At 35.3% G+C, this 16,760-nt stretch overlaps 1 protein-coding gene across 6 annotated transcripts in view; it reads right to left on the minus strand.

Moving 5' to 3' along the window:
• The window catches only part of FGF13 (fibroblast growth factor 13), a 590,297-nt gene that overhangs the window by 71,926 nt on the left and 501,611 nt on the right, over positions 1–16,760 (minus strand). For all 6 annotated transcript variants that reach the window (NM_001139498.2, NM_001139500.2, NM_001139501.2 and 3 more), the window contains one exon: positions 16,332–16,435. In NM_001139498.2, coding sequence (NP_001132970.1) covers positions 16,332–16,435 — 104 coding nt within the window. The remainder of the gene's footprint in view (positions 1–16,331; positions 16,436–16,760) is intronic.

A 16,760-nucleotide genomic window follows, 5' to 3' on the forward strand; every position in this document is an offset into this window, starting at 1 on the left:
CTTGTATTACTCAATTTTAGGTTTGATAAAATCTATACAATGTCAGCTAAGAAAATTATATCATATTAAAGGAGTGACTCAAACAAACTGTGTAAATGACACCTATACTTGATGATTAGTTATACTTAGAAAAAGCCTAGAATGTGTATATATAAAGCCTCTTAAAGGCTGACTTAGTATTCAATGATGCATAATAATATTTCAGGAAATAATAATAAAACAATTAAGCACGGGTGGTTAAAGCAATGTAAGAATCCAAAACAAAATAATGATCTATCTTCCTTCAGCATGCTTTTGTCAGCATTTCACTAGTACAATAACCTACCACATTCAACATATACAAAAATCAACTCAAAATGTATTAAAGATCTAAATGTAAGTCCTGAAACTGTGAAATAGAAGAAAACATCCAGAAAATGCTACAGGACATTGGTCTTGGCAAAGATTTTTTGGGTAAAACCTTAAAAGCACAGAAAACAAAATTTAAAAAATAGACAATACATGAAGCTAAAAAGTTCCTGCACAGCAGGGAAACAATCAACAGAGGGAAGAGACAACCTACAGAATGGGAGAAAATATTTGCATACTGTCCACCTAACAAGGGATTAATAAGCAGCATATATAATGAACACAACTCAATAGCAAAAATAAATAAATAAATAAATAAATCCAATTAAAAATTGGGCAAAGGACTTGAATAGACATTTCTCAAAGGAAGACATACAACTCTTCAACAGACACATGAAAAATATGCTCAACATAACTAATCATCAGGAAAATGCAAATCAAAATAATGAGATAGCATCTCAACTCTGTTAAAATGGCTAATATAAAACAAACAAAAAATAACAGTTGCTGGGTACGGATGTGAAGGAAGGAGAATCCTTGTACACTGTTGGGAATGTAAATTAGTACAGCTATTATGGAAGACAGTATGGAGGTTCCTCAAAATACTAAAAATAAAACTACCATATGATCCAGCAATCCCACTACTGGGTATATATCCAAAAGAAAGGAAATCAGCATATCAAAGAGATATCTGCATTCTCATGTTTACTGCAGCACTATTCACAATAGCCGTGATATGGAATCAACCTAAGTGTCCATCAACAAATGAACGAATAAAGAAAATGTGGTACATATACACAATGCAATATTATTCAGCCACAAAAAAGAATAAAATCATGTCATTTGCAGCAACCTGGATGGAACTGGAGGTCATTATGCTAAGTGAAATAAGCCAGACACAGGGAGACAAATACTGCATGTTCTCACTCGCATATGGGAACTAAAAAATTGGATTTTTTTTTTTTTTTTGAGACGGAGTCTTGCTCTGTTGCCCAGACTGGAGTGCAGTGAGTGGCACGATGTCAGCTCACTGTAACCTCCACCTCCCGGGTTCAAGTAATTCTCCTGCCTCAGCCTCCCAAGTAGCTGGGACTACAGGTGCGTGCCACCATGCCCGGCTAATTTTTTGTATTTTTTTTTTTTTAGTAGAGACGGGATTTCACCATGTTAGCCAGGATGGTCTCGATCTCCTGACCTTGTGATCTGCCCACCTGGGCCTCTCAAAGTGCTGGGATTACAGGCATGAGCCACCTCGCCCGGCCCCAAAAATTGGATCTTATGGAGGTAGAGAGTAGAATGATGGTTACCAGAGTCTGGGAAAAGTAGGTGGGAGGGGGAATGCAGCAAAGTTGGTTCATGGGTACAAAAATACAGTTAGATAGAAGGAATACATTCTAGTATTTGACAGTACAGTAGGGAGATTATAGTTTACAAAAATTTATTGTATCTTTCAAAATAGCTAGAAGAAAAGATTTGAAACATTCCCAACACAAAGAATAGAGAAATGTCTGAAGTGACAGATGTCCCAGTTACCCTGATTTGATAATTACACATTGAATACATGTATTAAAATACCACGTGTACCCCCTAAATATGTACAATTATTACATATCAGTAAAAAACTTAAAAAAAAACCTACCCCAGTAACAATCAAATCTCATTTTGGTTCCAATTTTTAAACTAAGGCAGTTCACAATAATTCTGACAAGGACAAGTGTTTCCCCTTCAAAATGGAAAACTGACCATATAAAAAGAAGACTGCTCAAATGCTTCTATATTTACCATAAAAAATACTTTTTTCAAATATCCTAATAGAAAAATGCTAAATGAACAACAGGAGAATCTGACTTTTGGGTATGAAATCAAATCATTTAAAGCCTATTTGCATAGGTATGCATGTGAATATTAGCACAGATGGAGAGAAAATCAATGATAAGCATCTTTGAAAATATCTGTCATCATGTAATTTCCACTACTAAATAACTGAATTTACTCCTTTTTATACTGTATTTCTTACTACAGAGGTGATACAGAGATTACTGGGCATCTGGACCAAGAGCTCTCACACTGTTGAACCCTGAGGGCAGAGGCTAGTCAGAATTTCAGAGAATACTAAAAACCTTGTGGAAGAAACTGCCTTTCATTTTCATTTTGATTCCCTGAAACTCCCAAGAATGGTGCTCTGTCTGCCAAAAAGAAAGGTAGCTAAGTCTGAAATAAATCTAATTCAGAATTGTTTTACATTTCTGGAATTCTCATTTCTTTACTATTATTATCTCTCATTTATCTGCCAGCATCTTTTGAATGTTTTGATTTTACATAATTACAAAGCAACACTACTATCCAGGCAGTTTGTTGCAAAACAACTTTCTCCATGGGTCTACACCTACACTCACGCCCCAAGTGGCAGAGCCTTGCCTCTGACAGCAAGGACCATGAGTGGTTCCAGCAAACTGACAGGCATCACTAGAATGTGTTACAGATACTGAAAAACAAATGAACCAAACCAAACCAAACACCTCTCTTGATGCTGAAACTCCTAGTCTCACCAAGGCTTCTGAGGTTCAAGATAGCTGCCGCTGAGCAGAGGAGGCAAAAAGATGAGTTATAGAGAAGAAAAGTCTAACCTCAAAATCTGAAGAGAAAGCATACCTCAAGTAAGTAGGGTATTGGAAAAGAGAACATAAAATAAAATGCTGCTCTATTTGCTCTCCATGTGGACATTTAAGGCCGAGTTCCACAGCAAAGAAAATAACTCAGCAAAACCACCCATCATGGTTCTGTTGACACCCTATTTTCAAGTTTAATTATTTGTTTGAACAGTTTCATGCCTTGATCAGAGATAGCAGTTAAAGTGTCTGTTGAGTGTATTTTCTTATGTGAAATTTAATAATCGTTTGACTGAAATACCCTTGTAATGTACATGAGCTTTGATTTTTTGACAGCCCTACTGAAAGCAGAACTTTTTTGTTCAAGCAAATAATTATTTTTGGGACTAGAGGAGTACAGAGAAACATAATGAGTTGGCCAGGTCGCTTCCCTTACTGGTAAAGATATGAGGAACATAAATGTAATGAAGAGCTTTAATACATGTGTTTTGTATCCACTTATTGCTTCTAGTGTTAACCACCCATCTAATCACAGAGAAGGGGTAAATGAGTAATGGGGATCTCAAAGAAGGAGGAGATAGGAGGGTCAAAACTTTGCTCTTTCCTCATCACTCATGAAAGTCAATAGTAGAAAATGATAACTCTTTTTTTTAGAGAAATAAGCACTTTCTGTTCCTCAAAATATCAGGTGTTAATATATATTGCATGTTATAGCTTCAGGAAATTATATCTCTATGGGTCAGCATTGTTTCTCTTTGTTATGCCTACTATTGGAACTTGAAATTATAGAAAAATGGAGGGAAATATATCCCTGTGTCATTGGCCAAACATGTGAGGTGGACTTTGATACATCTAAAAGCTTTGGTTGGTTGAATCTACTGTAATCCACTTGTGCTGGGCAAGTGGGAGCCTTTTTTTTTTCTGAGTCACACATATATAAAAATTTTAAAGCATTTTATCCTACATCATTTCTTGATATAATTGAAAACCATTGTCCAGTGTATTCAATTTTACCTCCTCATGGCATAGAAGCATGATCTTAGTGTGATCTGCTAAAGTCTGTGGTGCCAAGCAACCAATATATATTGTTTGATATAACTGGTAAATTTCCATAATGATGCACTCTCACCCACCCCCATCCCAAGGCATTCAAATTGTTTCCCTATATGGAATCTTCTTACAGTGAGTTCTGGGCTAAAAATAGCATTGCCAAGCTGCAGAAGTCAGGATGAAACAGTTTATGCTGATCCTGTAGTAGATCAACTATTAACAATTACAGATCTGAATTTGGGATGAATCTCCTTATGTATACTATAAATTCCAGACATTGACAGTATGAATGGATCAACATGATCATGGTTTGGGGTGCCTAGTATCTTATGGATATTCAACAGGTATATGCTAATCAATTGGTTGGCAAAGCTTGTGGACCATTTTATGCTTCGACTTCCCTGGGAGATTAGATGTGTGACTGGGCTCTCTGAGACTTGAAGAGCAATGAAGGGAGTTTTCAGGAAATTTCTGCTTCAAAGGTTATGATACAATATAAAAGCTCTCAGCTTCAGGTCTCCCATAGGCTCTATCTTCCTCAGTGAAAATAACACTGCAAAGAGGCTCTTTCATTAACACGTTAATTACAGTGAATCACTGTTATGACATGGGAAGGAGCCCGGGAATACTTTAAATATTTTTAAGAAGTCTTTAATCAGATCAACCACCAAGCACTCTAAAGAGGACTTTTGTTGTTGTAGCCTTGCTGATTTTGTGGCCAGGATATAGCAGTAGATTTGTTACACACAGGCTTTTTTGTTATAGTATTTACTATACACAATGAAGTTTTTACCTTTTCGAATTTCATTTCTGAAAGCTATGACTTTCATTTCCTGGTATCTCATTGACAATTATGAAAGTATTATGGAATGACTCACATCTCTTTCTATCAGACATTTTTCACTCTTCGTATTATTACAGTCTAAGTTATAATACTTTGGGGTTGTTATTTACATTTGACTCTTCCAAATCTTTATAGGACATTTTTTCTTGGGTAAAAATGAACATCACACCTAATTTTAATTACTTTTGTTATATGATATGCCAGAATTCCTATACACATCTGAGGCCCTTTTAAAAGGAGGTGTTATATATCCAAGAAATCAATTGAGGTTTTCACAGTAGTTCTATTTCCAGAACTGTCAAAAGTAGTTAGCATCAGATTATCTGATGAATAACTTAATCAGAATGATAGCATAGATGTGTTATCTACTCACACATTCAGCTGGACAAAACATATTAACTGTATTATTCAGGGGCTTGCCCGTTATTAACCTTGGTTACAGCTATTATAATGATCAGAAAATGCTTTCATTCAAAACTTCCCTGTTCAGAAGTCACAATTCCCTTTAAGTGGTGTAGTCACTGAAACCAGTGCTGTAGCTTCCAATTTTTTTTCTTGTGTCTCAGTAATTCACTTTCTTATGTAATTTTGAAATGTTAACACTTCAGAGGACCCACAAAAGTTCATAATTGGTCTCTGTAACTTATTTAAAATATTCAATAGGCCTGACAGAAACAATATCATCAGTCTTTATGCTTTATTATATACATCTCTATTAATTATTTCAATAAATATGTGTTAAAAACATACTTTTGCTAGGCTGCTCTATGACTAAGGGGGAAGTAGAGAGAAAACAAATCAGTTACTAATTAATGAGCATAGGATTTTGTAGGCAAACTATTTCAATGCACAAGGTTGATGGGGAAAAATGTTTTGTTGAGCTGTTTTTTTTTTTTTTTCTATCATGTTGTGGATTAACATTATACAAACGAGGAGATAGAGACTAAAAACAACGTCTTCACCAAGACATGAGAATCACTGGGTAATCACATAAAATAAAGCTAAAAAGTCATATTTGCTCTCTTTCATAAAGGTACTTAGCATTACCAAATATGTTGCTAGAGCAATTTCCAAATGTTCAGTGTAGGTTATGTATTTAAAACTTAGAATTATTTTAGGAATTCCAAAATAACTAGTGCCGTTATAGCAACAGAGCAATGAATATAACATTACATTTTTCCATTTGTCTTTCTTATATGTGTGTGTGCATGTGTGTATGTGTGTGTGTGTGTGTAAATCCCCTTACATCTGGCTTTACTTGCTAAAATTCCTCTTAGTCTTTCTTGCCAATTATTTTATTGTTTAGCTTCAAGAGTCTGGCTTTTTCCCACAAATATGAATTTAGCTTCAGAGTTAAAATCATGAAACACTCTGTTAAATATGTGCTCCATGACCTCTAATTTGGATTTTTTTTGTCAACTTGGCCTCAAAAACAGAATACAGAGCCAGTCACATTCTATTTAGCTACAACCAATAGTCTCCCTGATTTCCCAGAAAGTACCATTCTCAGTCATTCTTACACCTAAAACACTAGACCATCACCCTGAATACTTTACCCATTTTTGTTATTTTCTTAGAGTCCATAAAGAGAAAATAGGTACAAGCAACCAGACTTATGCAATTTCACATACAAATAATGCCAAGCTAGGTTTTCTTCATATTTTAGTGAAACTTACATTAATTGCAAAGAATAATAAACGTGAAATAATCTGTGATGTAGGAAATGTTTTTTGGCCTTGAAAATTAAGCTGATTTACTTGTGTTTGGAAGTAAAATCTAAGATGAATACTGCTACTTCTGTATATTTTTCACTGCAATAATTTTAAAGACTTTCATCTTAATAACACCAACTCAATAGCTGGACACCTCTTTAAAACATAAAATCTAGCTCTTTGAGCTAGCAGATCCATTTGGTAATAAATAAAATTTGCTTATTTTCTCTGCTTTTTTCCTGTAAAAATTTAACTTTCTATATTTTCCATTTCTAGTGATAGCATTCAGAAATATATGTGTTTGTATAATTACCCATACAAACCATTAGTGTGAACTGAAAACATTCATCAGAAATGTTTAATCCCATAAAACTAAATGATTCATCAAAAAAGTTTATCAAATGTATACTACACACCAAAATTAGGAACCTAAGTTTTGATAGTAAACACTTTTCCAATTTTAAATAAACCAAATTCAACAATTTGTTAATTAACTGATATATATCAATAAGCAAAAGTTTTAATCTGAAGTTAAAATACCTTTGTGCCTATGCTTTTTGATTTTATTTGATAATGATCATTTTCTTCAATATTGGATGTGATGCTGCTTGTGTTTATTTTAGATCAATTTCCTTCAATAATTGAGTCCATATCACTTTCCTAAAGAGTTTTCATTATTAAACAAAGCTCTCCATTTAATTCTATTAGATTTTTAAGCCTCTAAAAAGTAACCCTAGAATTTAAATTAGATGTACTTGCTGATATACCATCTAATATAATTCAAACATTTTACATGCTACAAATATTTGCTAGAAGTACATTCATCACTGTAAATTGATCAATGAGTTCATCTAAAGTTTGACATCCTTTCTGTATTAGAATAAGAGCTAAAGATGCAAAGCCATACCATTGAAAATTAGGTCTTCGATTGTCACACATTAAAATCACAGGAAGTAAACAAATCAGCAAAAGTGTAACCCTGCATTTGACAGGTAAACATACTGAACATCTGAGGCATCTTAACATGAACCAACCCCCTACTCATGGTATGAAATTAAAACATATATCAGAATCGATTTTATTGCACCTAAACAATGCAAACAACCTTTCCATTAATTGTATTTAAGCCCAGTGACTAGAATGCGGAATCCAGAAATTGCTGCCAGATCATATTTTTTATGACATTTTTTATTTTTTGGAAATACATGTTAATTTTTTCTTTTTTCTTTTCTTTTCTTTTTTTTTTTTTTTTTGAGATGGAGTCTCGCTCTGTCACCCAGGCTGGAGTGCAGTGGCGCAATCTTGGCTCACTGCAAGCTCCGCCTCCTGGGTTCATGCCATTCTCCTGCCTCAGCCTCCCCAGTAGCTGGGACTACAGGCGCCTGCCACCAAGCCCGGCTAATTTTTTTTTTATTTATTTTTATTTTTTTAAATTTTTTATCAGTAGAGACAAGGTTTCACCGTGTTAGCCAGGATGGTCTCGATCTCCTGACCTGGTGATCCACCCACCTTGGCCTCCCATAGTGCTGGGATTACAGGCGTGAGCCCACGTGCCCGGCCATGTTAATTTTTTCTACCTCAGTTTAGCTATCAGTAAACTTATATGACATATCTGGGAATCACTGGTTATTTCTCAATTTATGGACTAATTATTTTACTTTTCTAAAGAGGTTTGGGATTGCTGAAAACATAACATTAAAAACTGGGATCTTAGGAGTAGGATATTTACATGGTCTCAAAGTGTCTCCCAGTGGATTATTTACTAGTTGAAACACACACACACACACACACACACACACACACACACACACACACACAAACCCAGAAAACCAAGAGTTATACAGGGGAAAATGAGAAAACACCTTGATTTTATCATCAAAATTAACGTCCAATGAGGGGCAAATGGATACTGCATACCTCCAGATGTGATACCCTAAGAAGGACATACTATCACCTAAGCAGTACTCTGGCTAAAATGCTTAATCTCAATTGAATTAAGAAAAACCATCAAGCAAACCCAAAATTGTGAATGCTTATTTTAAAATTAGAAAGTGGACTCTTGTCTTCAAAAATTCTAATGTCATAAAACACAAAGAAAGTCTCTGGAAATGTTCTAGATTAAAAGAGACTAAGAAGACATGCCAATGCTGTAACTGACCCTAGACTGGATTCTCTACGGAAGGAAAAAATGAACATATTTTTTACTTAAAAAATTGGAATATGGACAGTAGATTAGCTAAAGTATTGTATTAATGTTACATTTACTGCAGTTCATTACTGTCAGTATATAAGAAAATATCCCTATTCTTAGGAAATAGGTGTAAAGTGCCAGGGTACATACTCTCAAATGGCTCAGAAAACTGTGTGTGTGTGGGAAAGAAAGAACAAATGATAAAGCAAATGGAGCAAAATGAATCGGAGGATAGGATATATGGAGTCATTTGTACTAGTGTTATTCTTGCAAACTTTCTATAAGTTTGAAGTTGTTTCCAAATAAAAAATTTTAAGCAACGCAACTAAAATCGGACTATAAGTACATATTTGCTTTCCCTTTTGAAGACAACAAAGTCAGTAAATATGTATTGAGAAAACAACAGCATGCATTAATCAAGGCACTGGGGATATAGTAGTGTATAAGAAAAATGGAATATATGCTGTCAACATGTTAAATTCTAGTTGGGGAAGATGAAAAACACACAAAATAATAATTTTAAATAGTGATAATGCCTTGAAGAAGATAAATGTGGATAATACAGATAGTGAATGTACTGCTTTAGTTAAGGTGGTCAGAGATGGCCTTTCTAAAGAATGTCATTCCAGTTGAGACGTGAACAAAGAAGGAAGCAGCTATGCAGGTATTTGGGGGAAACAATCCAAATGTCCATCAACTGACAATGAATAAACCAATGTAGGAACATACAATGGAATATTACTCAGCCATCAGATGGAATGAAGTACTGATTCATGCTACAACATGTAAGAGTCTTCTAAACTTTATGCTAAGTGAAAGGAGACAGTCATAAAAGGCCATATATTGTATTCCTTTTGTATGAAATGTTCCAAATAGGCAAATCCATAGAGAGACAAAGTAAATTAGTGCTTGCCTGAGACTGGGGAACGGGATAAGGTGTGTCTACTAATTGGTATAATTTCTTCATTTAGCGTGATAAAAGTATTCTAGAATTACACAGTGGTGATGGTTGGACAGCCTTGTGAAATATACTAAAAACAACTGAATTGTACACACTTTAAATGGATAAATTTAAGATCTGTGAACTATATCTCATTCAAGCTGTTTAAAAAAAGAAGGAGGTAATAGATAATGGAAAAGCGGTCAATAGTCTGGAATATGAAAAGGTCCAAGAGTATGGCCATGAGATTGATAAGGCTGAGGAATAGAAAAATATCCTTACAGCTAAAAAAGGTCACAGAACTTGAGACCAGTTTTGTTGGACGGGTCATCTCAGGGATTCTGAAGTTACCAAGAATGTTAACATATGACTGACAAACTCAATGTCAGTGTCTTTGAGAACAAGGAAAATGACAAAACACTTACTAATTGAATTATCTGTAGCAAATGCTGCATCTTGGGCTGCCATCTCGGGCTTTTCCCTATTCATCAGCAAAAGCATTCTAAGAATATTTATGCATGTATTCATATATCACACACCTCAGTAATCAAATGCATCTCTCTAAATGTAACGTGTTTAGAGGCATGGTCAAATGAAGAATTTTTCCATTTAATATTTATATTTCTCATATTTAGTTTGTTTAAAACAGTAATTCTTAACTGATTTTACAATGGCCAAAAATTTGCAATATGTGTTGAAAAATTATAAAATTTTAAAAACCAAGCTAAATGCATTAAATATAACCTAAATATTAACTTAGGCATGTAACATTCTTAAAGGAAAGCAAATCTAAGTTGTCAAAGAATAAAACAAGTGAAGCTAAGGTGTCACAACTGCTAAGGGGCTGGTATTGTTTCATTTGTCACTATTTCTGATAGTGACTCCTTCAAAGGAGATTGTATTATGAGATGTTCTGAGTGATAGGTAAGAACAACTCTATGTAATGAGAGAAGAAACGGTAAATTTAAGGTATGTGAAAATAATCCAGTAGAGAAGAAAAATATGTCCCCTTAGTTCAGATTGCAATCTGACTGAGCCGTTGGGATCAGTAACACAAGCTGTCTCATTCCCATGGCATCAAGCTGACTCTCAGAAAGAGGACTGCTTTCTGGTCTTGCATCTAGTTTGCTATGGTAGTCCCAGGACTACAAAACGTGACAGTAAAATCACTCCTACAAGTTTTCCCTGGAAATCCATGAATGAAAAAGGCTTGTCAAAGGATTTCTACTTGTCTATACGTTTTGTCTGCCCCAACTTCAACCCAAGCAATACTGTGTATTGTGAAAAAGGAAAACTAGAATTTTTTGAAAGGTAAGTAATTATATGGGTAGAACTGCTGCTAATGAGTTCTAGAACATTCCAAAATAAAAAAAATAATAGTAATGCTTTTGGTTTAACTTTGAGTTTTTGCTATCCTGTTTCTAATATCTGTTATTTCTTATTAAAGTAGACATAGAACGGGAATTTTTTTTATATTTAAGACACTTGACTTTCTATAGTCAATGATTATTTATTTCAAGCAGTTTTAAAACATTTATTACAAATAGCTTTATGTTATTAAATATTCATACTGTGAAGTTTTGAGGAACTCTCAAAAGCTTGTGTACAACTCCTTATTATTGCTAAAGAAAACCAAAGGTAAGAACAAAATTATCTCTGCACAACAAATAACAACTTTCTTGCAGTCCCAGAAAGACTCAGCATATATCATGGACAAAAGTAAATATGTTATGAAATAATGGCTAATTATGATTCTCTGTGCCACAGATGTGCCTACATCAAGTCTGTCCCCCATGGCAACAAGAAAAAAAAAGGGCGGGGAAGGGAGGGTGCAGTGCAAGAATTCTGAGATTAATCATGGAAAGTAAATTGCTATCTCTGTAACAATAACAATGTGGAGGTGTCGTTTCTTTATTTAATGGACAAAAGGGAGAAAATAAATGGCAAAAACTATAAAGTTGAATTCAACCCCCCCAAAATTGAGGGATATAGAAGTAGAAATGCAAAAGAAGGTAGAATAAAGAAAAAGAGATAAAATAAGAACGCTCTTCCAGGGATCAGCATTTTCCATCATCTCAAGAAATATTCCTTCAAAAATGTAAAGGCAATTTGCTTGCAAGAACAGAAAAACATTGGTATCAGGAATTTGGAACAAATGATTAAGTGCATATAAACTCATGGTTTCTGACTTCAGTGGCGTGTCCTCAGTGCCTCAGTGCTATTCAACAACCATTTTTCTTAAGCTCAGATCAGTGGTTTTCATAAGCATTAGCTGGGGAGCTTTCGAAAATATTCATGCGTAGATCCCACCCTTGGATATTGATATAATTGGTCCAAATGTAACACAAAGAATGGAATTTCTTAAAGTTCCTCAGGTAATTCTGATGGGTACCTAAGGCTGAGAATCATTATCTGATTACAATCTAGGGGTCAGCAAACTTTCTGGGAGGTAAAGGGGACAAGTTATTTAGTAAATAATTTAGGCTTTGTGGGCCATAAGGGCTCTGTTGCAACTATTCAACTCTGCTGTTGCAGTGCAAAAGCAGCCGTAGACAATAAGTAAATGAATGGGTGTGGCTGCGTTCCAATAAAACTTTATTTTCATAAACAGGTAGTGGGCTGGATTTGACCCACGGCCTTAGCTTACCTACTCCTGTTTATTAAACTGTTTCCATTCCCCTTGCCCAAAACAGTTGTTCCCACCCCTGTTTACCTGTGGTTACCCCCATACCTTTGACTTTCAGTAGGTGACCTCTTATTCTACTTTAATGGAAAAATGCAGATCATCTGGTAGAAAATTCTTCTACTTCCTTGTCTATTACTTGCAGACTCAGTAAACCTATGTCTGCATCTGTCCTCATCTCTTTGTCTCCTATTAGAGATTCAGTGTCCCTTCTTTTCAAGATGAATGTAATTCTTTCACTTATACTTAATTCCATCACCCTTCCATCTCTTCTGCAGCTCGACTCCATAAAGAATACCATTTCTTATGTCTGTAATCACTCCCTTTCTATTTGTTCATTTCTTTTACTTAACAAATATGTTCAAGTGACATCCTTAACCAAAGAATCCTCAGTCTTCCTCAACCCTGTGTTCTGCCCTAAATACACACCCACCCTTCCCTTCCCTTCCCTTAGAAATTCTATACCTGTTGCCTCTACTTCCTCTCATCCCATTTACTCCTCAAGCCACTAGAATCTGGCTTCTGTTCCCAATATTCCACCAAAACTGTTTTTGTTAAGATCACCCACAACATATGAAACATTTCACATTGCTGACTCTTCTTAAAACTCCTTCCCCATTTAGCTTTTGCAATACCACTATATCTGCCATAATTAGTTATTCTTCCTCTGCTGGTCACTTTCATGCTGTTATTTTCTAACATTATTTGACAAGCTCTCTCCTCTTCTTATGCTACATATTTTCATAACTATTTCCATGGCATGGACTGCTACCTACATGTGATAACTCCCGAGTTTTATTTCTAGTTCATGTCCCTTTCTCAAGTGCTAGGTTCATATTTTCAAATATCCCTTGAAAGCTATACTCAGGTAACTTCCTCAAATCTGCTTTTTCCCGCTTTATTCAGCCTAAATGCCAGAGGCAAAATTCCCCCTCTCCCTCATGACGCCTGATAATCCACTGAGCACTTCTGACTTCTGTGAAGGTTTTTTTTTTAATTCTTACCTGAAGACACCTCATTCTCATCTGTGCAGTGAATGGCAACCATACATGTTTAACCATGTATGGTGGTCCTGCTTTCCTTCCAAATCCAATCAGCCACCAAATCCTGATGATTCTACCTCTAAAATATCTCAGCAATCCATCTCCTTTTAGCCATTCCCACTGCAACTGCTTTTTAAGCAGACTGTAGTCATCCCTCACCAATTTTTTTTAACTTGCCCACATCAGTAGCCCCTTACCTCCTTTGCTTACTTTTGCTTTCTCTTTAGGTCATTGTCCTGTTCTGTCTTCTCTTTGCTAAGAGGCACTTTGCAAAATTGCATATAGCATTTTGTAGTAGAAGTGCCATGGTTTTACGCAAGGGAAGAGTGATCCTTCCTCTTTGGTTGCTGTCTCTTCTTGATGAAACATGATATTTCATTAAGCTTTTGATCTCAGCAATATAAGTTGCTGAAGTTATTAGGATAGAACTCCATCCTAAGTAATCTGGGCACCACACTTTAAATAAGATGACAACAAAATGAAGTGCCCACTGAGGATGGTGATCAACTTGGTGAATGGATTCCCAGCCACAATTAATAAGGAGTAATTGGAAGAATTGGAAAATTAATTCTAAAGAGGATTCTGATTTATTTCCTGGAGCAGACTAATTTGGATATTCTTTCCATATATGAACTCCAGGATCATCAAGCAGGCATATTTCCTCCTTAACAAAAACATAGTTCCTTTTCTCTAATAGAAACACTTACTTAAGGCTTCTTTTTTCTTAATAGGAAATACATACAAGATGTGCCACATTTGGATGTATATTGGCCCACCCATCACGGAAAGGAAGTTCACCAATCTACAGTCCTCATTTCCCTGGGAAGCCTTTCTAGAAATGAGCTCACATTGACATTTACCAGTTTGCTGGAATAATGATTAATTTGAATGGTAGGCTATGCATTTTCAACGCTGGTTCCTTAAGTGTAATGCTGAGTGCCCTAATTTTCTTGAGTGGGGGCACCTGACATATAACCCAAGTTAAATAATTTTCCACATTCTTACTTAAATATTATTTCCAAAGTACGTTCTTCAATTGTGATGTTGCAAAATTTATATTTAGTTAGCTTTTCTCATCAGGGCACCATAACGGTGACTGCAACCCATTGAAATTCTGGATGATTTATCAGTAATTATTTCATATGATATCTGGCATGTGCTTTCTCAAAAGTATGCCCAGTATATTCCGTTTCCTTATCATGCCTTCACAATATTTTCAGAAAGCGTCTATTTTATTAAAAAACCTACCTTTGTATCTGGTCCTGCTGAGGCAGTCTGTTGATCTAAAGGAAATTACTTAAAATCCTTCATTATTAAATTATCTTACCTTAGTACACAAATCTAAAATAAAATCCCCTTTCCTATCTTTTATAGTAGCACTCTAGTAATAAAATGACGTATTTCATGAACTTTGCCATAAAATCACATTTTTCATTTAGTAAAAAGAGCAAACCCCCATATTTATTAAGCAACCAGACCACTGAAATTGCCTGATAGGAAAACTGATAGTGACCAGGGTTTGAGGTATATGCTGATAATTCTCTTTTTTTCATAATCTTTTCTCATCATATGAAACAAACTACCTGATTTACCAAATAAACAGGCCCTCTGGGGCCTTACTCTATTCCCACCTCTTTCCCATCTTGGCCTCTGCAAAACAGGGTTATCATATGGTTTCCACCATATCTGCCAAGAGTCTTCCTGCACACCTGGCTTTGAAAGAAATTCAGGAAACAAGCAAGCAAGAGTGGTTAAAGGTAGTGTTTCACCTGAAGTTTGAGGAACAGATTTTTATTGTTATACTAACAACCTGCTTCAAGACTTGCTAGTAAGAAGTTCGACAAGCAATTTTCTCCATTTTAAACATTCTTTTCCTTTATTAAAATACATGAATTCAAAACAAAGATTTAAAAAATACTCATATATTACGCTGGGCACGGTGGCTCACGCCTGTAATCCCAGCAACTTGGGAGGCCATGGCAGGCGGATCATTCGAGACCAGGAGTTCGAGACTAGCCTGGCCAACGTGGTGAAACCCATCTCTGCTAAAAATATGGAGTGTCACCACGGCACTCCAGCCTGGGCCACAGAGCAAGATTCTATCTCAAATAAATAAATAAATAAATTAATTAATTAATTAAGTTAAAATAAAAATTCATATATCAAATAGTCTCTTATAATCTGAAACTAGATCTGCCAATAAGAATAAAATCTTAACCCTAATACTGTATCATTTTGCTTATATCTAAATGTTAACTTTTTTTAAAGTTTAATTTGGCCCCATGTTCCATATTGAATTGTAATCTACATTGTTTATACATTCATCTGAGAAAAAGTTCCATTTTTCATTCTGTTCACTCCAAAGTTACAAGAAAAAGACAAGCAGGAATTTATAGGTAAGGAAAGGTTAAATAGTGCTTATATTTAAAGCAGAAGCAATCAGGAATCCTGTTCAATTAAACTGAAGATAAGAAATAGAACTCTAGAAACCCTTCAAGAACTGGTTTTCATGTCCTCGAGCTGATCTGAGGGAGAGATCTCATGTTTTTTTAGGAGTAAACCTGGATAAATATATGTTCAACTGAGTTATAGAAATGACTTTGTTTCCCACAGCTGCAAAGCAAGGCAGCAAGACAGACCATTATATGCTACATAAGATGACCCAAATGACACTGTATTAAAAAATGTTCAGTGAATCTTTGATTATATACTAAAATGCTTGCTTCAAATAACTGATTAGTAATAGATATATTTTTCACAGAAAGTTAATCTGTCCTTTCAATGAAATATTTCCATCAACATTCTTCTCCTCATCACAGAAATCTGTAATGATAACACATATAAAGCACATTTTCTTTCATATTGGATGAAAACTAGAATAGTCAAAACATGCACACAGTCAAAAGCTTACCGAGGTGTACAAGTATCCCTCACTGTTCATTGCCAAGTACAGCTTGGTTTGAACTCCTTGGATAGCCACCACTCGCAGACCCACAGGGATGAGGTTAAACAGAGCTGAAATTAAAAAAGAAAATGAAAACAGTGTTACAATTCTGAATTTCAGAACTTTTCAATGTTTCCAGCAGGACTGCCTGGTCCTCCAAAAGTAGTGTGTAGTTGGTGAGGGTATGCATATATGTCTGTTTATGTAGACATGCATACACATACAGACCCCCACAAACACACCCACACATACCCCGAGGCAGACAGATAGGTCTCATTCTACCTTTTAGTGTATTTAATTTCATGGTTGCAGCCAGGTAACTGGAGCTGTAACTACATATTATTTAACAGCCTGGAGAAAATGGAAGGCTTTTGGTCACAATTTCATGGTTTTTAC

This window comes from Homo sapiens, chromosome X (genome assembly GCF_000001405.40).
Source record: "Homo sapiens chromosome X, GRCh38.p14 Primary Assembly".
NCBI lineage: Eukaryota > Metazoa > Chordata > Mammalia > Primates > Hominidae > Homo > Homo sapiens.